At 37.0% G+C, this 24539-nt stretch overlaps 1 protein-coding gene across 5 annotated transcripts in view; it reads right to left on the bottom strand.

Moving 5' to 3' along the window:
- The window catches only part of EPHA3 (EPH receptor A3), a 374514-nt gene that overhangs the window by 123389 nt on the left and 226586 nt on the right, over window positions 1–24539 (bottom strand). For all 5 annotated transcript variants that reach the window (NM_005233.6, NM_001410778.1, XM_005264715.4 and 2 more), the window contains exons 4-5: window positions 17675–17830; window positions 16656–16991 (exon numbers count right to left, since the gene is read on the bottom strand). In NM_005233.6, the coding sequence (NP_005224.2) occupies window positions 16656–16991; window positions 17675–17830 (492 nt within the window). The remainder of the gene's footprint in view (window positions 1–16655; window positions 16992–17674; window positions 17831–24539) is intronic.

The raw sequence follows: 24539 nt of genomic DNA, 5'->3' as shown, positions 1-24539 counted from the left end.
TTTTTTTCCTCTGCTTTAGTAATGAAAAAAAGATAAAACTATTATACTTAATGTCATATAATCTGTGAATTCAAGACCAATCTCTTTCACTGGGGGGCTTCATTGAGCTGTTGATGCTTTTTGAATTCTCTTGGCAGCTGGCTTTGCCTGTCTTTTCTTGGCCAAACCAATCAACTTCATGCTGTATTCATGAAACCTTTAAGATGTCCTAAATTGAGAGCTCCTTGAAAGTAGTGACTACATCTTAATCATCATTTTATCCCAGTAGATCCAGTATAGTAACTGGCTCATACTAAGGGCTTAGTCAATGCTTTGGGAACAGAAAAAGGCAAGTAATTGAGTGTGTTATTTATTGCCAAAGAAAACCTGGAGTTATCTAAATGGGTTTTTTTTTAGACCACATTTACTGCTAAATGTTCCAAATGTTTATGAAAGATATTAACTACCAAGTATTGATCACTTAATAAGCAGCCAGCACCACACAAGGTATTATATATGCTTTTTTCTTGACTTCACAATATCTCAATGTAGCCATAACCCTTATTTAACAGATGAGATGGTTAAGAAAAAGACTATCCTGTTCAAATATTTTAGTAAAAAAAAGTCTCTCTTCTTTCATATCTGTTAGACTCCATATACTTTCTATAACTTTATTATTTCTAGATCTTTACATTCCTAATTTATACATGTACATATATACACACGCACATGAATATACAAATATAAACACATACACATATGAATAGTTGTAAAACCTAGTTCTTCTTCTAGCCATTTTATATTAGGATTTTAATAAGGACATCTATCTTATATCTGCAATAATAAGAATTTGTAAAAGCAGCTTAGAATGGAAACATACCTCAGGGAAGATGGATGGGATTTTTTTCAAACTTTTCAGATATAAAAATGTCAAATTAAACTGAAGTTTTTTACTATATCAATTCAAACCAAGAGAAAAGCATGCTATGTTCTTAGCCTAGTTGTTTTATTTTAACTGGGAGTTAATGGAACAGTAGGCAATGTATCCCAGATATCAACTATGAAAAACCTTTTGAAATCATTTCAATAGAAGAGAAATAAAACAAGCTTTACTACTTGAAACAGAAATAGAGAATGTTATTCTTTGATATGTTGAAAATCTGTATAAATATCCATAACATGTACTTCATTTTAGAGGATATATACCCAATTGCCCTCCTTAGGTGGACAAAGATAGACGAACTTTGCCCACAAAGTATATTCAAATAGCGTGATAAGCTAAACAAATAAAAGTAAAGATGCAAAAATTTTCTTTCTTTAAAATATCTATGGTATGCACAATTAATTTTGGGGTCATCTGACATTCTCATCTTGGAATTACAGTGAATCTATTAAAATAAACTTGTAGAAAAAGTCAACCACTAACAGTCTAGTGATTAAAAATTAAAAAGTGAGCATTTCCTAAGTAGTTGTAAAATCTTTGTCTCCTGTCACAACCTGGGCCTTGGTAAAGTGTATTCTTCTAACTCTTTATCCAGAATGATTATTAGAACATTTGTTGCCACCTGGTTTCTTCCCGTATCACCGTCTCTTTTCTTTACTCTTTGCCGATATCTTTGCTTGATTGTGCTTTTTTTTTTTTTTTTTTTTTTTTTTTTTTGAGACAGGGTCTCACTCTTTCACCAGGCTGGAGTGCAGTGGTGCAGTCTCGGCTCACTGCAACCTACACCTCCCAGGTTCAAAGTATTCTCCTGCCTCAGCCTTCCGAGTAGCTGGGATTACAGATGCACAACCAACGACCACACCCAGCTAATTTTTGTATTTTCAGTAGAGACAGGGTTTCACCATGTTTCCCATGATGGTTTTGATCTCCTGACTTCCTGATCTGCCCGCCTCGGCTGCCCAAAGTGTTGGTTGTCCTTTTATTAGTCTTATCAATTTCTTATTTTATGTGTGCCTTTGGTTCTTGTTCTAGCCCAACTAAGAGATATAGGCCAATATATATAACTTTCAATCAGTCATTTCCATTACATCCTATGTAGGGCACCTCAGTGATGGCACAGAATCAATGGATATACATACATTATATATACATATGTATATGTGTGCAACGAACAACACGAGAATGACCTATTACATTGAGGATTGTCACGCATTATAGATATGAATTGCGATTTTGAAAAAAACTTGGGGCCTAAGCCAATCACACCAAAGAAATGTATCAGAATTTGATCTTACTAGAATGGCAATCATTAAAAAGTCAGGAAACAACAGGTGCTGGAGAGGATGTGGAGAAATAGGAACACTTTTACACTGTTGGTGGGACTGTAAACTAGTCCAAACATTGTGGAAGTCAGTGTGGCGATTCTTCAGGGATCTAGAACTAGAAATACCATTTGACCCAGCCATTCCATTACTGGGTATATACCCAAAGGACTATAAATCATGCTGCTATAAAGACACATGCACACCTATGTTTATTGCAGCACTATTCACAATAGCAAAGACTTGGAACCAACCCAAATGTCCAACAATGATAGACTAGATTAAGAAAATGTGGCACATATACACCATGGAATACTATGCAGCCATAAAAAATGATGAGTTCATGTCCTCTGTAGGGACATGGATGAAATTGGAAATCATCATTCTCAGTAAACTATCGCAAGAACAAAAAACCAAACACTGTATATTCTCACTCATAGGTGAGAATTGAACAATGAGAACACATGGACACAGGAAGGGGAACATCACACTCTGGGGACTGTTGTGGGGTGGGGGGAGGGGGAAGGGATAGCTTTAGGAGAAGTACCTAATGCTAAATGAAGAGTTAATGGGTGCAGCACACCAGCATGACACATGTATACATATGTAACTAATCTGCACATTGTTCACATGTACCCTAAAACTTAAAGTATAATAATAATAAAATAAAAAATATATATATATTTATTCACATTTTTAATTAAAAAAAAAAGAGTTTCTATTTCCCCCAGACACGGGAAGATCTGCATGATCATTATGGAGACAGAGCACAACTTATTCAAGCCCTTTCCCAGTCACAAATGCTCTCTCATTTTATTTACTCCTCACAACAATCTATGTGTAGGACTTACTGTACCAATAATCAAAAAGGATACAAAGATGCCAGTAAGTTTAGTCCAATAACTCCCTTAAATTCATTTCTAAACAAAATTGCAAATGAATGCATAAACAAACCAAATTTAAAAATACAAAAAATAGTCACTTCATTATTAAGTGACAGTACCTGAATTTACAATTGGACTTTTGCTACTGTCCTGTTCCACTTTGTTTTTCAAATACCTTTTTTTCCCAAGGCATATTTGCTTCACTTATAAACAGTGGATTATTTTTTCTTAAGTACATGATACAATGTGCATTAACTTAGTTTCCTAGAATATATAATTGGAAAGAAACTTAGAAATGGTCTAGTCCAAATGTTACATTTCACAGAAAGATAAAGCAATAGTTCTGACCTACTCTGAGGCCCAATTGGAGTGGGATCAAGATGAATATTTACCTCTTTGGACACACATTCCAGAACTCTTCTTACTCAGGCACATGGCCTTGCCTTTAAAGCTATTTCCTAGGAAAAACTTGTGACCAGAGACAGATTTTTTTTTTTTGTCAATTTGTTATAATTATTTTTTTTCCAATTGAAATGAAAAGGGAAAGGAGTAAGAGGTTATTTCTGGATGATGAATTGTCAAGAGGGTGCTTTTGAATTAGCATTGATTAAGAGTAAATACAATCATGTGAAATTTTGATTTCAAAGAAGAAATCACACCACCTGTGTACCAGGCAGTCAAGATTTTACTATAATAAAATAACCATCTTTATATATTTCTTTCTTCAGCCTTACTTAGATTTTGTGCAAAGCCTCTCCTTTGCAACCCATAGGAAAAAGAATATGTAGATAGGGGCTCTGGAGTTGTGCGGCCATGGACAAGACACTTATTCACTTATAGCCATATAAAATTGTTGTAAGATTGAATAAGATAATTACATAAAGGACTGGAGTGCAGTGCTAATCATGTCAAGAAGAGTTAGGTCAGCAATTAATAATAATAAAAAGGAGCAGAAAATATGAACTTCTCACCTCTTTGGCCTTGGCATTCTTTTACTTTGGTGCGAATGGTATAGAATGTCAGGGCCCCTGCTTATAGGGGTGCCATACCTCATAGTCATAGTCTTTGTAATTTGGATACTTATTGCAATAATTTCCTGATAGATATCTATAAAGTCACTTAAGAAAGGGATGTATTTTTTTTTTCTATTTGAACACTGGTACTATATTGATAGGATTATAAAGTCAGAATGCTGAGCTGTATGATGGTTATTCACACTGAGATAACACTTTGGGAGATGCTGAAATATAATTAAGAATTTATTATGAAAGAGTTTTGCCAGTGGTAGTAATATATCTGCTTTTGGAAACAGAACATTTTCTTTCTTTCTAAATACTTGCATTTATTAAATTTCTCAATTACTCACATACGATGCTATTATATCCTAAGGACTATATTTCAGTTAACTTTAGGGAGGTAGAACACATTTAAAGTATAAAATATGATTTTATTGTGATTTGAGACTAAAAATGTTCTCCTTGGAAAATAAGGATGAGAAAACTTTCTGTGAATTAAATATTTTTTGCCCTTGGGGGAATATAGTTAACATACAACAAGTTAGCATCAAAAGTCTAATTCTTTCTTAATTTCCATGTGCTTTAGTTAACACTATATTTACTCCTCTAACTGGTTATTAATATTCTTTTTCTAGTGAAAACTCTTGAATGAAAGTTGTAATCATACCCTTCCACGTACATGTCTTCTCCATTAATTAGAGTCGTATATAAAACCAGAAATGAAGACGGAATGAAAATTCAGTTTAGATTCATGAAGCTCTCCAACTGTCTTCCTTAGCTCATGTTCCATTTTGTTATGGCCTCTAAGCTCATATAAGGGTTTTGAATAACTGTCAGGACAATATATGGTTTTTGCTTTTGCTACAGCTTATTGCTCATTCTACAGTTACGCAATGTGCCTCCATACCAGGGTGTGATGGCTGAGAGGCATCATTAATGTGTTAAATGATGTGGAAGGCTTGGCCACACTATGACACATCACTGCACAGTGACATTCCCAGATGCACAGGTATCTGCCTTGATTTCAAAACAGGAAGAAGCTGAATTGCCAGTCAAGCATGATGTACTGTGAAAATCATAATGTATATAACCACTTATACTCTCAGGGCCAAATTCAGACGTCATTTGTTTGTTGAGATAAACAAAATGTTAAGACTTTGATTTTTAGGTTTCATTAATCATAAAATGAAACAAAGAGAAGGATGCATCATAGAACATTACTAAAGTCATATGATGTTCATTATTTTGTTAGGTGATTTTCATTATGTTTACAGTTTCCGATTCGCTACATTGGCGCTGAAAAATGTCTACCTTCATGTTCTGAAAGAATTCATGTAGATCCTTTTGGTGTTTAATTTACTTCCAAGGAGTATAATTACACGGCAACATACAGTTCTATAGGGACTATACCAATAGGTGGCCATAGTTTAATGGCAGATTCAGCTAAGCATTTATTCTACCTTTATTTTAAAATGTTTGCTTCTTCAGAAATGCTGAAGCCTGACTGATATCTTCAACATGAGTTATTTCTTTGTCATATCTACATACACTAAGTTCCAAAAGAAAAATAAGGTGGCTAGAGGAAACATATTCCAGAATGAAACTACAGAAAACTTAGAAATATTTTCTTTATCAAATGCAAAAAAATACTGTGGATTCTTTCTTTCTTTCTTTTTCCTTTTTTTTTTTTTTTTTTTTTGAGACAGAGTCTTGCTCTGTCGCCCAGGCTGGAGTGCAATGGTGCCATCTCAGCTCACTGCAACCTCCGCCTCCTGGGTTCAAGCAATTCTCCTGCCTCAGCCTCCCGTGTAGCTGGAATTACAGGCACCTGCCATCATGCCTGGCTAATTTTTGTATTTTTGTAGAGACAGGGTTTCACCATGTTGACCAGGCTGGTCTTGAATTCCTGACCTCAAGTGATCCACCCGCTTCGGCCTCCCAAAGTGCTGGAATTACAGACATGAGCCACCACACCTAGCCTAGTGTGGATTCTAAATTTAGTCAAAGGGCTCTAATATTTTACAGTTCTTTTTTTAAGTATATCTTGTTTATTTAACATTTATTAAAGATATTTACTTTTCTTAACGAATGGATACTATTGCTTTATTCTGTGAAATAAAAGGCCATAAAACCATGAACGAGAAAGCCTATAAACGTTTTTTATAGTAAGTGAGTCCATAGGTGGTCTTAAAGGTCAAAAATAATTAATTGTTTAAAATTATATTAGTGACAACATTTTGAATTATAGTCCCAGAATGCCAAAAAATAAATTAAAAACAAAAATAATTATTGGATTTCCAGTTTAATCCCTTCATGTAATGGATGGCAATTTTCAGCCAGAAGAAAGGAAGGCGTTTATCTAAGGGGAAAAGAAGGAGGTTGTCTTTGATCATCAAATTAAGTAGATAATAGAGGTCATTCTGTCTAAAGCAGAGGATAGGAATTCCTTCATTATAGCTAACAGCCTCAAAGATCTTTTCCTTTACATAAATTAGTGCACCTTCTATCGAAAATCTACATAAAATGAAGTCACGTTCTCTCTTTTAAATATCATAATTTGCTGATCATTTTTGAATGGAATGGCAACTCTGAAATTCCCTGCATCATATCCAGCACCTGGAAAGTCCTATCAATAAGTGTTGGTCTTCTTCCTTCTCCACTTTTTTTTTTTTTTTTGCATCTGCCTTGAATTTACAGAAAATTACTTATTTATTTTTATGGATGGGAACTATATTATATCAGTATATGTTATTATTATAAATAGAAACTGGAGGTAAACAGAACATCAATTTGTTTTTGCCATTTGGATATGAGTGAAACAATGAACAAAAGTTGACTAGTATCTTCAGATGAGATTATAGTATAGAACAATGCTAATGTCTTGATTTTAATAAATATATTGAGACTATGTAAAAGCATTATTGTTTTTAAGAAATTGTCACTGGAATATATGGAGACTCAGGAGGAGCCAAGATGGCCGAATAGGAACAGCTCCGGTCTACAGCTCCCAGCGTGAGCGACGCAGAAGACGGGTGATTTCTGCATTTCCATCTGAGGTACCGGGTTCATCTCACTAGGGAGTGCCAGACAGTGGGCGCAGGCCAGTGGGTGCGCGCACCGTGCGCGAGCCGAAGCAGGGCGAGGCATTGCCTCACCTGGGAAGCGCAAGGGGTCAGGGAGTTCCCTTTCCGAGTCAAAGAAAGGGGTGACGGACGCACCTGGAAAATCGGGTCACTCCCACCCGAATATTGCGCTTTTCAGACCGGCTTAAAAAACAGCGCACCACGAGACTATATCCCACACCTGGCTCAGAGGGTCCTACGCCCACGGAATCTCGCTGATTGCTAGCACAGCAGTCTGAGATCAAACTGCAAGGCAGCAGCGAGGCTGGGGGAGGGGCGCCCGCCATTGCCCAGGCTTGCTTAGGTAAACAAAGCAGCGGGGAAGCTCGAACTGGGTGGAGCCCACCACAGTTCAAGGAGTCCTGCCTGCCACTGTAGGCTCCACCTCTGGGGGCAGGGCAAAGACAAACAAAAAGACAGCAGTAACCTCTGCAGACTTAAATGTCCCTGTTTGACAGCTTTGAAGAGAGCAGTGGTTCTCCCAACACGCAGCTGGAGATCTGAGAACCGGCAGACTGCCTCCTCAAGTGGGTCCCTGACCCCTGACCCCCGAGCAGCCTAACTGGGAAGCATCCCCCAGCAGGGGCACACTGACACCTCACAAGGCAGGGTATTCCAACAGACCTGCAGCTGAGGGTCCTGTCTGTTAGAAGGAAAACTAACAAACAGACAGGACATCCACACCAAAAACCCATCTGTACATCACCATCATCAAAGACCAAAAGTAGATAAAACCACAAAGATGGGGAAAAAACAGAACAGAAAAACTGGAAACTCTAAAACGCAGAGCGCCTCTCCTCCTCCAAAGGAACGCAGTTCCTCACCAGCAATGGAACAAAGCTGGATGGAGAATGACTTTGACGAGCTGAGAGAAGAAGGCTTCAGACGATCAAATTACTCTGAGCTATGGGAGGACATTCAAACCAAAGGCAAAGAAGTTGAAAACTTTGAAAAAAATTTAGAAGAATGTATAACTAGAATAACCAATACAGAGAAGTGCTTAAAGGAGCTGATGAAGCTGAAAACCAAGGCTTGAGAACTACGTGAAGAATGCAGAAGCCTCAGGAGACGATGTGATCAACTGGAAGAAAGGGTATCAGTGATGGAAGATGAAATGAATGAAATGAAGTGAGAAGGGAAGTTTAGAGAAAAAAGAATAAAAAGAAATGAGCAAAGCCTCCAAGAAATATGGGACTATGTGAAAAGACCAAATCTACGTCTGATTGGTGTACCTGAAAGTGACGGGGAGAATGGAACCAAGTTGGAAAACACTCTGCAGGATATTATCCAGGAGAACTTCCCCAATCTAGCAAGGCAGGCCAACGTTCACATTCAGGAAATACAGAGAATGCCACAAAGATACTCCTCGAGAAGAGCAACTCCAAGACACATAATTATCAGATTCACCAAAGTTGAAATGAAGGAAAAAATGTTAAGGGCAGCCAGAGAGAAAGGTCAGGTTACCCTCAAAGGGAAGCCCATCAGACTAACAGCGGATCTCTCGGCAGAAACCCTACAAGCCAGAAGAGAGTGGGGGCCAATATTCAACATTCTCAAAGAAAAGAATTTTCAACCCAGAATTTCATATCCAGCCAAACTAAGCTTCATAAGTGAAGGAGAAATAAAATACTTTACAGACAAGCAAATGCTGAGAGATTTTGTCACCACCAGGCCTGCCCTAAAAGAGCTCCTGAAGGAAGCGCTAAACATGGAAAGGAACAACTGGTACCAGCTGCTGCAAAATCATGCCAAAATGTAAAGACCATCGAGACTAGGAAGAAACTGCATCAACTAACGAGCAAAATCACCAGCTAACATCATAATGACAGGATCAAATTCACACATAACAATATTAACTTTAAATGTAAATGGACTAAATGCTCCAATTAAAAGACACAGACTGGCAAATTGGATAAAGAGTCAAGACCCATCAGTGTGCTGTATTCAGGAAACCCATCTCATGGGCAGAGACACACATAGGCTCAAAATAAAAGGATGGAAGAAGATCTACCAAGCAAATGGAAAACAAAAAAAGGCAGGGGTTGCAATCCTAGTCTCTGATAAAACAGACTTTAAACCAACAAAGATCAAAAGAGACAAAGAAGGCCATTACATAATGGTAAAGGGATCAATTCAACAAGAAGAGCTAACTATCCTAAATATATATGCACCCAATACAGGAGCACCCAGATTCATAAAGCAAGTCCTCAGTGACCTACAAAGAGACTTAGACTCCCACACATTAATAATGGGAGACTTTAACACCCCACTGTCAACATTAGACAGATCAACGAGACAGAAAGTCAACAAGGATACCCAGGAATTGAACTCAGCTCTGCACCAAGCAGACCTAATAGACATCTACAGAACTCTCCACCCCAAATCAACAGAATATACATTTTTTTCAGCACCACACCACACCTATTCCAAAATTGACCACATAGTTGGAAGTAAAGCTCTCCTCAGCAAATGTAAAAGAACAGAAATTATAACAAACTATCTCTCAGACCACAGTGCAATCAAACTAGAACTCAGGATTAAGAATCTCACTCAAAGCCACTCAACTACATGGAAACTGAACAACCTGCTCCTGAATGACTACTGGGTACATAACGAAATGAAGGCAGAAATAAAGATGTTCTTTGAAACCAACAAGAACAAAGACACGACATACCAGAATCTCTGGGATGCATTCAAAGCAGTGTGTAGAGGGAAATTTATAGCACTAAATGCCCACAAGAGAAAGCAGGAAAGATCCAAAATTGACACCCTAACATCACAATTAAAAGAACTAGAAAAGCAAGAGCAAACACATTCAAAAGCTAGCAGAAGGCAAGAAATAACTAAAATCAGAGCAGAACTGAAGGAAATAGAGACACAAAAAACCATTCAAAAAATCAATGAATCCAGGAGCTGGTTTTTTGAGAGGATCAACAAAATTGATAGACCGCTAGCAAGACTAATAAAGAAAAAAAGAGAGAAGAATCAAATAGACACAATAAAAAATGATAAAGGGGATATCACCACCGATCCCACAGAAATACAAACTACCATCAGAGAATACTACAAACACCTCTACGCAAATAAACTAGAAAATCTAGAAGAAATGGATAAATTCCTCGACACATACACTCTCCCAAGACTAAACCAGGAAGAAGTTGAATCTCTGAATAGATCAATAACAGGAGCTGAAATTGTGGCAATAATCAATAGTTTACCAACCAAAAAGAGTCCAGGACCAGATGGATTCACAGCCGAATTCTACCAGAGGTACAAGGAGGAACTGGTACCATTCCTTCTGAAACTATTCCAATCAATAGAAAAAGAGGGAATCCTCCCTAACTCATTTTATGAGGCCAGCATCATTCTGATACCAAAGCCGGGCAGAGATACAACCAAAAAAGAGAATTTTAGACCAATATCCTTGATGAACATTGATGCAAAAATCCTCAATAAAATACTGGCAAATCGAATCCAGCAGCACATCAAAAAGCTTATCCACCATGATCAAGTGGGCTTCATCCCTGGGATGCAAGGCTGGTCCAATATACACAAATCAATAAATGTAATCCAGCATATAAATAGAGCCAAAGACAAAAACCACATGATTATCTCAATAGATGCAGAAAAAGCCTTTGACAAAATTCAACAACTCTTCATGCTAAAAACTCTCAATAAATTAGGTATTGATGGGACGTATTTCAAAATGATAAGAGCTATCTATGACAAACCCACAGCCAATATCATACTGAATGGGCAAAAACTGGAAGCATTCCCTTTGAAAACTGGCACAAGACAGGGATGCCCTCTCTCACCACTCTTATTCAACATAGTGTTGGAAGTTCTGGCCAGGGCAATTAGGCAGGAGAAGGAAATAAAGGGTATTCAATTAGGAAAAGAGGAAGTCAAATTGTCCCTGTTTGCAGACTACATGATTGTATATCTAGAAAACCCCATTGTCTCAGCCCAAAATCTCCTTAAGCTGATAAGCAACTTCAGCAAAGTCTCAGGATACAAAATCAATGTGCAAAAATCACAAGCATTCTTATACACCAACAACAGACAAACAGCCAAATCATGAGTGAACTCCCATTCACAATTGCTTCAAAGAGAATAAAATACCTAGGAATCCAACTTACAAGGGATGTGAAGGACCTCTTCAAGGAGAACTACAAACCACTGCTCAAAGAAATAAAAGAGGATACAAACAAATGGAAGAACATTCCATGCTCATGGGTAGGAAGAATCAATATCGTGAAAATGGCCATACTGCCCAAGGTAATTTACAGATTCAATGCCATCCCCATCAAGCTACCAATGACTTTCTTCACAGAATTGGAAAAAACTACTTTAAAGTTCATATGGAACCAAAAAAGAGCCCTCATTGCCAAGTCAATCCTAAGCCAAAAGAACAAAGCTGGAGGCATCACACTACCTGACTTCAAACTATACTACAAGGCTACAGTAACCAAAACAGCATGGTACTGGTACCAAAACAGAGATATAGATCAATGGAACAGAACAGAGCCCTCAGAAATAACGCCGCGTACCTACAACTATCTGATCTTTGACAAACCTGAGAAAAACAAGCAATGGGGAAAGGATTCCCTATTTAATAAATGGTGCTGGCAAAACTGGCTAGCCATATGTAGAAAGCTGAAACTGGATCCCTTCCTTACACCTTATACAAAAATCAATTCAAGATGGATTAAAGACTTAAACGTTAGACCTAAAACCATAAAAACCCTAGAAGAAAACCTAGGCAATACCATTCAGGACATAGGCATGGGCAAGGACTTCATGTCTAAACACCAAAAGCAATGGCAACAAAAGCCACAATTGACAAATGGGATCTAATTAAAATAAAGAGCTTCTGCACAGCAAAAGAAACTACCATCAGAGTGAACAGGCAACCTACAAAATGGGAGAAAATTTTCGCAACCTACTCATCTGACAAAGGGCTAATATCCAGAATCTACAATGAACCCAAACAAATTTACAAGAAAAAAACAAACAACCCCATCAAAAAGTGGGTGAAGGACATGAACAGACACTTCTCAAAAGAAGACATTTATGCAGCCAAAAAACACATGAAAAAATGCTCATCATCACTGGCCATCAGAGAAATGCAAATCAAAACCACTATGAGATACCATCTCACACCAGTTAGAATGGCAATCATTAAAAAGTCAGGAAACAACAGGAGCTGGAGAGGATGTGGAGAAACAGGAACACTTTTACACTGTTGGTGGGACTGTAAACTAGTTCAACCATTGTGGAAGTCAGTGTGGCGATTCCTCAGGGATCTAGAACTAGAAATACCATTTGACCCAGCCATCCCATTACTGGGTATATACCCAAAGGACTATAAATCATGCTGCTATAAAGACACATGCACACGTATGTTTATTGAGGCATTATTCACAATAGCAAAGACTTGGAACCAACCCAAATGTCCAACAATGATAGACTGGATTAAGAAAATGTGGCACATATACACCATGGAATATCTATGCAGCCATAAAAAATGATGAGTTCACGTCCTTTGTAGGGACATGGATGAAATTGGAAATCATCATTCTCAGTAAACTATCGCAAGAACAAAAAACCAAACACCGCATATTCTCACTCATAGGTGGGAATTGAACAATGAGATCACATGGACACAGGAAGGGGAATATCACACTCTGGGGACTGTGGTGGGGTGGGGGGAGGGGGGAGAGATAGCATTGGGAGATATACCTAATGCTAGATGACGAGTTAGTGGGTGCAGCGCACCAGCACGGCACATGTATACATATGTAACTAACCTGCACAATGTGCACATGTACCCTAAAACTTAAAGTATAAAAAAAAAAAAGAAAAAAAAAAAAGAAATTGTCACTGAAGTGTTCAGGAGGAAAAGGTCATAATATCTGCAAGTGGTTCAGAAATAAGTAACATTTACATAGAAAGAGAGATGGGGGTGGGACGGATAAAGCACGTGGAATAAATTATTAATCTAGGAGAAATCTGGGTGAAGGTATATAGGCATAATGCACACTATTGCAATATTTTCACACATGTGAATGAATCCAATTTTTTGATAGAAATTGTACATACACATGCTGAATTCCAATAGGGTAAACTGGTAAAGGGAGGAAATGTCAATTTACTCAGAACTTTGCTGTCTTGATGAAATGTTGAAAAAGCTTCTCAGATATCAGTTCATCCAAGTAGTAAAATAAGAGTAGAGGTGGACCTCCAAACCCCAAGGCCACATACATTCTCTATTAGTGCTCCTTATTCTAGTCTGAGATCATTATATGCTATAGAATAGTGGAAAGCGGCAGATTCTATAATGGCAGTTAAGAATGAACAGATATGCATATTCCACTAGTGGAATGATTGTTTTTGTCCAGAAGAAAAAAAAAGATGAATATACTCATTCTGTGAAAGAAAACAAAAAGCAGCAATTTATGTCGTTATAAGTTTGAAGATTTTTGTTTTGTAATCTGCAATTCTTTCTTTACTTGACTGATGGATTCACAGATACAATCTTTATATGGTGGCCTACTTTCTTATCTCACTGACATACTTTGTGAAAGTATTGAGAGCTGAGAACTAATATCCGAATTTACAACATAATCTTCTACAATTTAAAAGGTGCCTTATCATTTGATCATCACAATGCTTTTACAATGTCATCAAGAGAAGAATCAACAAACTCGATCTCACAAACTAAATTAAAAGGGACACATTCATGCTTCCCCTTTATATCCACGTCAAAGATAGAGGCTAGGAGGATTTTAAGCACCCTGGCATCATATCTGTCACAGCCATATCCTTCCAGTGGTAGGGAGCTTATTTTTCAAGGCTACCAGTCCATTAACCTTCACAAGAACAAAAATAAAGGAAAACAAAGAAACACTCCCTTCAGAAAAGGCATTGCTTCTAATCATGCTTATATATCTTACCCTGGAGATTTGAAGATAGAACAAAGACCTCTATCTCCCCAGGCACACAAAATGATACAGACATCCTGAAATAAATATATAAAATGCCTGGTGGTGCATATTATAAACACATTAGTGATTTTTTTTAAATGGGAGAGAGACTAGGGTAAGTAACTTCTATCACCTTTGCTGAATCTGTCTTAAACTGTGATTTGTAACTGGGAGGGCCAAAGCATCAATCTCATTTATTTTTTAATGTCTTGGCCTGATCTTGGTTGCCACTTTGCCTAGATTCATTTACTGTGTATATTTGGAACTATTAGTTTCCTGATAAATGCATTGTCAGAAAGCCAGAGGGGAATGATAAGATAGGAAATAAGGAGCTCTTGTTTGTTTTTATACAATTCTGTTTGACTTAAGAGATAATTGTAACACAGATTGATGCTACAATTTTAAACAAGGTAGTAAATCAGCTTGAAATATAGCGCTCCGGAAAACCATTTGCCACATGATCATAATTTGTTAAAATTCCTGTGTTAGCTGAAGATGAGAAGCCATAATCATGCAATATATAGCAACAGTATTGCAGTACTCATTTTTTCCCATAGAAGACAGTTAAATAAACCTAAGTTATAAACTTTTAAATATCATTAGTTACAAAGTATAAATACCATTAACGGAAGCAAAGCAAAGCATATACTGGTTGGTCTGGGATCTAGCTCCAAGTGGGAGAAATTATAGATACAGTGAGCAAGATTAAAGTAATGATTCAGTGCACTTCATTTAAAATTCATGTATTTTCCACAAATTAAGTTTACTTATCATCATGAGGAATGTAAAAATATAAGATTTTCATCAATATATGAGACCAGAAGCAAAGTGGAAACGAAAGAGAAATTTAGAATCAGAAAGATACATATTTGAATATGGATGGACTCTGCCATGGCTTATATTTAAAATATCTATCCATTGGCATGGGGAAGACAGGGGCCCCTCAAGAAAGACGGGTGCTAGCCAAAGGCTCTGTATACCCCTCTTATGCAAAGATTTATCCCTTTGGTTGCTGAATGATGGGGAGAATGGAGATGGACCTGACATACTGAGCTTAGGGGACTACTCAGTGTATTTGAGAAATTAACCAGTAGAGAGGCATTTCTGTAATAACCTGCAGGAACAGCTAGAACTACATTTAACCAGTAGATAAATAGATGAAAATGTTAACAACCAGCAGAGTCATATTGATGCATACTTGCTTTTGTAGATGACACTTACTCTGTGTCTTTACTAGTTGAACTAACCTTTCTGAGTAAGCCAGGTGATGGAAACAGAATGTGGTGAGTTTTTTTGGCTCATGATTTGGCTACTAGAAGACCTAGGTGATAAGATAATTTAGTCACCTCTGGTTTCCTTTTGCCTAGAGCATCCAGGACACATTCTGATATTCTCAGAGCAAGGGGTGATTCCCACTAGGGACCAGAGGGATGTCCATAATGTAAGCCAAATGAAGAGCAGAAGCCGAGTTTATACTCAATCTTGACAACCAGCTCAGAGGTGACCCCACCTGGGAGAGAACTGGAGAATCGGTAGTTCTCTGGAGAATCAGAGTGGCATCTTGTCTCTCTCTTCCCTCTCCCTTTGGCTCCAATGTTTGTGTGTGTGTGTGTGTGTGTGTGTGTGTGTGTGTGTATGTGTAAAAATAAGACAATAATATCTCTGAATTGAGCTTCTTGGGATGTATACCTAATTCTGACATTTTGTAGCAATAATTTAAGCACAACAAATACCTATCAGTTTAGCTTTGTACAAGACATTTTGAATACAAAAGAAAACTGTTTATTACTCATTTATCAGTTATCAATATTGAAAAATGATTGTTATATCTCAAAGGGGCATTATTTCTATGTAATATATAATCCATTTATATGTTTGAGAGATTCACAATTAAAATCCCACAAGTAAAATCCATAAGTAATCTACATAGTTATTATTAAGCAATCAGAGATTTATAACTATCAGTTATAATACACAGAACTTCTTAGAAGTATGAAATAACAAAGGAATACCTAATTTTAACTAAGCTGAAGATATTTACAATTTTTCATATCCTGCATAACTTTTTTTAAAGCTAAGATTCATTGCCTAAGTTCTCTGAAATATAAAAATGTTTCCCCCAAGGAGCCCCTCTACTACTATCTGAGAGCCTCAAATATTTAAGGATTTCAAATTGGGAAACAATGGGTATAAACTAGTTTAAAAATCACCTAACAAATATGGTTTATTCTCACTTGAAGAATTAAATTATTTAATGTGCCATAACTGTTTAAATGTGTTAGAAGGCAAAATCCTGGGGTTCTATAAAATCTTTTTTTCCTTCCGCCCAGTTTTCCACCCAGAGTCAAAACCATTACTCAGACGTGATATGATAAGAGTAAGAAGCATCTAGTATGTACTCACCAGCCTGATTAGTTGTGATGCTGACCGCAGCAAACTGTCTTGGTGGGGAGCTCAGCTCTGACACCCCATTAACGGCATCAATCTCAAAGGTGTAGTTAGTATGTGCCAGAAGGTCTGTCACTGTCACCGTGGTGTTGGTGAGTCCAAACTGTCGAGGGAGGAAGCGGACATTTGGGCTGCATGGCTCACACTGTTTTATATTCCACCCACATTTTTTACATATGATGTTGAAGGTAACATCTTTCCGGCCTCCTGTGTCCAGGGGCCAACTCCAGTCCAGGATAACTGAGGTCTCGTTTATATTAGAGATAACATTTCTTGGTGAAGATGGAGGTCCTGCAAAGTAGTTCAACAAAGATTAATGAGCCTCACTTCTGTTTTCTACTACAAGGGAAATAGATAATTTACAATGGAACTGAATGAGGTAAATAACTATCCTTTCTTTATTATCAACTTTCAGTTCATCCTTAGAGGATCCATGATATTATAGACACATGGATTCAAGAACACTGTCTTCCCCAAGCTGTGAATGGCGGAGTTTTAACTCAAAGGTAAGGATACATTCACAAATTCTAACAAAGTAACTCATCACTATGTTCAAAACCCTTGTGAATAGTTATGAAAACTTTAGTATTAGTTTTATAACTCTTAGTCCTTTTTCCCTATGACCTATGACCAACATACAGCAAGAGGGAATAGAAATGTAAAAACATAAATCCCCTGTCTATAACCTCCCCTATCCTGTCATATGTAATGCAGGATCTAAACAAGACACAGAAAATGTTCTCTCTTTCAGGGGGTTGTGTTGCAGGAAGTGCTTTAAAATTTAATTCATTTTGTGTGATAAATGTTGCATTTGTGGTGAGCCAAGCATGGGGAGTGAAGCAGAGAAAGCTTTCAATTTGCACACGGGCAACAGAAGGAAATGGGCCAAATGCTTTAAAACAAAAACAAACAGCACAGTAACAAGAAGAAAACAAAACAAACATGGAGGCATGGGTTGCAGCAAAACTACTCACGGGTACAAGCCATGGATGGAGGGTCTTTGTCTGCCCGGAAGTAATTATTCTCACACCTGCAGTTCATTGAACCATCTTCCTGAGTAGAACTGTGAGGCGGGCACTTAGCACACTTCATATTACCATCCAATGCCTTGTAGAAACCTGGTCGACAAGCTACAAACAAAATGACTCTCTTTTAAAAGTCTGTGATAATTTTTTTGAAAATATGTAAAACAGATTTAAGTAAGTTCGAATATGAATTTATTATAAATAAAAATCAAGTTTTTTCCTCCAAGAATTTACAGAAGCAAATGACAGAGCCTACTGTAGTTTTTCTACATAAATGCTTGAATTTGCACCAAATGTTAAGAAGAAAAACACACACACAAGATTTAGATTATTTTGGCACTAGTGTATGATGAAATTTCCAGCTTGTGTTTTCACAGCTTTACTTGGCATTGGACTATTTGTGGAGAAAATAAAGCAAAACCATGTCACCATGTAGTAATTCCCTTTTTAAAACATGATGCAATGTGTATACTATCTGCACTGCAGCAAGCAGTATATTAACATTGACTAGTTTTCTAATTGCTCTGTGGGTACAACTTCGTCCCACAAAGTGTAAGCAACTGAAAGAAGAGATCATGGCTTCACGTATATTTTTAAGATTCTTGATAAATAATTTTCATGAGCTACAATATTTTTTTCTGGCTTGACAGTACTTTTCCTTACTTCCTATGGCAATGGCCTAAAATAAAGATTTAAATATATTCCTTTGTCTATATCTGAAATACAGAGGGATATACAGTTCCTATTTAAACTAATACACTTATGAACTGTTACTAGATGAGAGCTCTTTTAATAACTGTGTTATCTTTTTAATTTCTGGCCATATCTCTGCATAAAATGGTTTTTGTAAGCCTATTGAACTGGTTATCGAACATTGATTTCAGCTTATAATTTAGGGTTCAGCATCTATGTACTGTTTTACAGAGATATGCCTAAAACTGCCTCTACTATATTATTTTCATTTTGTCTGATAGAAAATTCAAAATGCTGCATTACTTCTTTTGATGCATTTTTATAATTACATTGAGAACTAAAATCATAGTGAAAATTCCAAGAAGTCTCTAGTAATTCATTTGAGAAGGAATTTGGGATGTAAATTTTAGATTCAAGATGATCCTTGGAAGTCAATAATTTCTAAAACTTCTAAAGCTCAATTTCAGTGCCACATTTGGACTTGATGATTTACAGAACTTAAATAGACTTGATGATTTACAGAACTTATATACAGAATAGGCCCTATAGATGGTCATTACATTCTAGAATTTTCTTATATTAACTTCATATTGTGAAGAGAAGATTATTTGCATTAAAGTAAAACCTGTGTGAACAAATCAATATTTATAATCACTAAATATGTTTCTGAAAAGAAATACAATATATCCATGGTAGACTATCTTCTTACTGAAAGTTTCTTAAAATAAGACAAGGGAAATACACTGCCAAAATAAACTACTGGAATAACTTAAAATGATAGCAATCATTAATCTAGTCTTACTGTTTTCTAGTTCCTACCAAGAATGGCTGCTGTAGGACCAATTTCCAATGTATTGAACAACTTTTGGTGTCACACTGAGATCCATTACATATAGTCAATTCTACTGCCCTAACAATTATAATTTTTCTTTCTTTCTTTTTTTTTTTTTTTTTTTTGAGATGGAGTCTCACTCTGTCACCTAGGCTTGAGTGCAGTGGCACAATCTCGGCTCACTGCAATCTCTGCCTTCCAGATTCAAGCTATTCTCCTGCCTCAGCCTCCCAGGTAGCTGGGATTACAGGCGTGCGCCACCAGGCCTAGCTAATTTTTGTATTTTTAGTAGAGACAGAGTTTCACCATGTTGGTCAGGCTGGTCTCGACCTCCTGACCTTGTGATCCGCCCGCCTCGGCCTCCCAAAGTCCTGGGATTACAGGCGTGAGTCACCGCCACAGGCCGACAAATATTTATGAAGCTGTATGTATATGTGCCTACGTATCCTTTACTGTTATTATCTCAGGGTTATTATTTAGTCATAATTGGATAAAGTCTAGTGACTAGTTTGAGTAGCATTCTTAACTTTTAGGTTTATTAACTGTAGCTACCTTCAAGATACTATCAATAATCTTGATAATTTGTGCAGTACCTAGGAAGTGATTATGTGACTCTCTTTTCAAGTATCGTATAGTATAGCCATCTGTAATAGAAACAAAAAGTGACTGAGTGTTTAGTGAATACCTGTATAACAAATGTTGTAAAAACCATAAAAGTCAGGAGATCGAGACCATCTTGGCTAACACGGTGAAACCCCGTCCCTACTAAAAATACAAATATTAGCCGGGCACAGTGGTGGGCGCCTGTGGTCCCAGCTACTCGGGAGGCTGAGGCAGGAGAATGGCGGGAACCAGGGAGGCGGAGCTTGCAGTGAGCCCAGATAGCGCCACTGCAGTCCGGCCTGGGCGACAGAGCGAGACTCCGTCTCAACAAATAAATAAATAAATAAATATTTGTCAAACATCTATTCTTGTTTGGGCTCTTTGATTCCCAAAAAGGCAAAAATGTCCCTAATTCTGCCCATGCCCAAAGGGCCCTTGCAATAGAAAATGGGCAGCGGGCATTTAATACAAATCATGCTGAGCAATCACTTCATTGTGATTGGTGGTTGGAAGAGACTCCACAGAAGGAGCGCCATTTGAGAAAGATCATACATAGATAGTAGAAGTGGCCAGTATGAAGCATAATTCAATATACAAATAAATCAACATGAAAAATACAAACTGTTACATAGAATTTTATGGCAAGTAGTGTTGGTACTCAATACCCAAACTCTGCTCCCTTCTTGCCAGCAGAATCCTGATTTTGCTCACAGATGAAGCCAGCCAAATCCTTCCTTCCTTAGACCAGTGAAGCTAGAGATGAACGGCCAAAGTTATGGACAAAAAGGTGGGCAAAGAAATGTACACAGAAGTCCGATTAAAATATTTGTGATACCTTTTTGTTTTCTAACAAGATGTACAAATACAACTTGAAGCCAAGTTATTCCAGCCTTGATTATGGACATTATGGCTGGAATTGCAGCAGCTTACATGTGATCATGAGTGAAAGGCCAAGAAATTCAGCATGATGTGTTTTCTGTACTTGATCCAGGAACCACCAATCTCAAGATTTCTTATAATGTCAGAAAGACAATACCCTGTTTGTTTAAGTCACTGTGGCCTAGGTTTCTTTTACTTGTAGCAGACGGCATACCTGAGTGACTAGATGAATAGGAAATTCAGTTGAGATGTGCTAATTAAATAGAATAATAGCCTAATGGAGCTAAAAGATCCTTAGAAATCACATTGATCTGTATGTGTGTTTTACATCTGAGGTCACTGAAGTCCAGAAAGTTAAGTGACACACAGTTTAGGGACAGACATTGCAACATCTGACACCTGATAACTAGCTGATAGGCTTTAACCACGAATGAATAGATAGTCATTTAATGTCAACTATATGCAGAGTAAAATGCTAGATTCTATAATAACATTTTAATTTTTGTAGATGTCTTTACTTCTTTGGTAGGACTTTTATATGTACCATCTCAATTAAATCTTATCAAAGTTCTATTGAAATTATCGGTGTAGGTATCAGTCTGTGTATTTTATAGACTGTACAATTGAAGCACCAATGGAAAGGACAGCATGCCCAAGATAACAAAGAAATTCAATGGTATAGTTTGAACAGGGAAGGAATCTTTCTTTTAATTTTATAAAAATCAATCATTGAAAGCAAATTACTTCCTTAAAACACAAATTATTTTTCTACCAATTCTAAACTGTTGATATGAAATTGAAACATAGTCATTTAAACTTTTATTTAATTAAAAATTGCAAGACTTTGTCATCTATTCCAAGTGAGAAAACATCACAGAAAGGCTAATGCTCTCTCGTACATGTCTTTCTCTAGGATTTAGGATTTTTGTTTTTCTTTTTTTTTTTTTCTTTTTTTGAGCCAGGGTCTTGCTCTTCTCACCCTACTGTCCAGGTTGGAGTGCAGAGGCATGATGACAGCTCACTACAGCCTCCACCTCCTGGGCTCAAGCAATCCTCCCACCTCAGCCTGGGTCAACAGGTGCATTCTACCATGCTTGGCTAATTTTTAAAACTTTTAGTAGAGATGAGGTCTCACTATATTACCTGGCTAGTATTGAATTCCTGGCCTTAAGAGTTTCTCCCCCTTCAGCTTCCCAAAGTGCTGGGGTTACAGGCTTGGGCTACTGCACCCAGCCTTTCTCTAGGATTTGCTATCTATTTGATGTCTAACATTGGTATGGGCGGATGAGTAAGTGTCCTTTTAGTTGGAAGGGCAGTGGGAATTTTTCAATTTCACGAGTAGGACGACAGTGACATGCTGTATTTGGGAGGCATATAAGTAAATTTTCCATTTCTTGTCCAAGTAGTATCTCAATTCTCCACCAAAACTGTTCAATGAATTTGAGAATATGAGTGGAGAATGTATAAAATTATTATTTTATAAAGAAACAATCTCTATAAATGTATTTTTCTCTAACAAGCCAATTTTTAAATTTATATCATCAATAAGCAATCTCTCTCCCTTGCAGTAAATCAACTTGTGCTCAATTACCTGTCTGTCTGTCATGTCTTCTTTATCCTTCAAAAAATCATCCTGAGTATTAAAGACTTTAAGGAGCATCTATGTTTGTGTGTGAATGTGTGTGTGTGTTATCTTTGCTTATAGTAGCAAAGACAATGATTGTATATTGAAAACATCTCCTTTCCTTCCTTGAATGTAAAACTAGTGAGTAACAATCTACACATTTCTCTCATTTAAGCATTTTTATAGGCTGAAGGAGGTTGCACATATAAGAGAATAAAAGTAGGAAATAAAAAGTAGATGTATTAATGTGCTTTCTTTCCTTTTGTTAATGAAAATAAGTCCCAGTCAACTTATTAGAGAATACCAAAGAAAAAAGAGATTAGACAAGAAGGGTGGAAAAAAGATTTATCCAGAGACAAATTTTAAAATACAAAGCCCCAGCTATACAGTCAAGGTTGTCTGTAGTGGAGACCAGCTATTAAATCAATACTTAACTAAGGCAGATACACACATATCAAAAAGCTGCTGCCAAAATGACACAATTCTGATTTACGTCTTCCCTCAGGTAATCCAGTAGTAAATGTTCTTGTCAGTCAAACACGTGGAAAAATTATTCATGGATCTTAACCCCAGGATAGCAAAACCAAAGAGTGATTGAATAGTTTAAAATCTTTCAAGTGGAAGCAAATTGCCACCTTTTTATGTGGCTCCAGAGATGCTTTCTCCCATTTTGTAAGAAGATTTTTAAACTAGTTAATTGTGGCAGGAACTCTTATCTTTAACATTATATTGATATATTCAAGTAAGATGATCCATGAGTCTAAGTTGATAACAATTAAAATGGAAGGCAGCACCTTCTCAAGCCTTACTAGATATCATCCTGGATTTGCTACGAATTGTATTTGTTCACATAATGTTTGAATTCATTCCTTCACTTTTATCAAACATGTATCGATTTCCTAAAATGACCTAGACACTTGCTATGATGTGAATGATTGTGTTTCCCTAAAATATATATGTTGAAATCTAATGAACAATATGTTGGTTTTAGGAGGTGGGATCTTGGGGAGGTTTAGATCATGAAGGCAGAGTCCTCATGAATGAGATTAGTGCCCTTATAAAAGAGGTCCCAGAGAACTGCCTTGTCCCTTCTATCATCTGAGGACCCAGCTAGCAGGTGTCACCTATGAACCCGGAAATAAGTCTTCACCAGACACCGAATATGCTGGCCCCTTGATCTTGGACTTCCCAGCCTTCAGAACAGGGAGAAATAAATTTCCATTGTTTATAAACTAACCAGCTTATGGTATTTTGATATAGCAGCCCAAAGAAATGAAAACAACCATTTATTGTGTCTTATAGTAATAAAAGTCAAAATCCCAGCTTTTAAAAAGGAGATCAGTTTCATATCATGGTTATTTTATAAATGGATCTTCTCACCTGAGAATTGGAGTTGCAAGATACGTTTTTATATGTCACTTATATGTTATCTTCACTAAGCAATTTCCTGAAATTTCTTCTTTTTATCCCAATACTTCAAGTTGTCTTCAGCATGTTAGAGGAAAAGCACTGGACTAGGAAGCGGGAAATGGCATGTTTTGATCTAGCTTTTCCTATTAAATAGGTGTTGGCTTAGATTTACTGATCAGGTATCTTCAAACTTTAATGAGGTGTTTGAGACAGTGACTTCCTCTTCTATAAATAACTCTAAGGTTCTACCCTAAGTAATTACGTATTCCCAGATTAGAGCCTGAGCCATACAGAGACAGGAGTTATTTCCTATTCATTTTGTGCACCCTATATCTGGCACACCATCCAGCACCTAGCAGTGAATGAGATGAATTTTTAAAGTGAGTGAATTATTTGCAACCAGTTGTCTTATCAGGACTTCAATTTCCTCATTTAAAAAATGACAGATGTTAACTAAGTTATCTCTAAAGACTCTTCTTAGCCTAGACACTTTAAAATGTTAATACCCTGTATGCCCAAATCTGTAGGATTAGTAACACTTTCTAAGTGGAGATAAAAGAACAAATTAACTTCATGTTCATCACTGCTTTAAGGATTAAAATTAGCCATTGAAATTATAAAATGCCATATGGCAACAGAACAAGGAAATGAAATTCTTTCCTGGCTGAGAACAAATATACTTGAAAAAGAAATGATGGATTTTGCAGTGCTTTCCTCTAGCAGAGTAGTGTATATTCAAAGGGCATATTGGTTTTATAGTCAAATGGACTGAA

The sequence above is a fragment of the Homo sapiens genome, chromosome 3 (genome assembly GCF_000001405.40).
Source record: "Homo sapiens chromosome 3, GRCh38.p14 Primary Assembly".
NCBI lineage: Eukaryota > Metazoa > Chordata > Mammalia > Primates > Hominidae > Homo > Homo sapiens.
The sequence above is the reverse complement of the archived record's forward strand: the minus strand, read 5'-3'. Positions and strand labels throughout refer to the sequence as shown.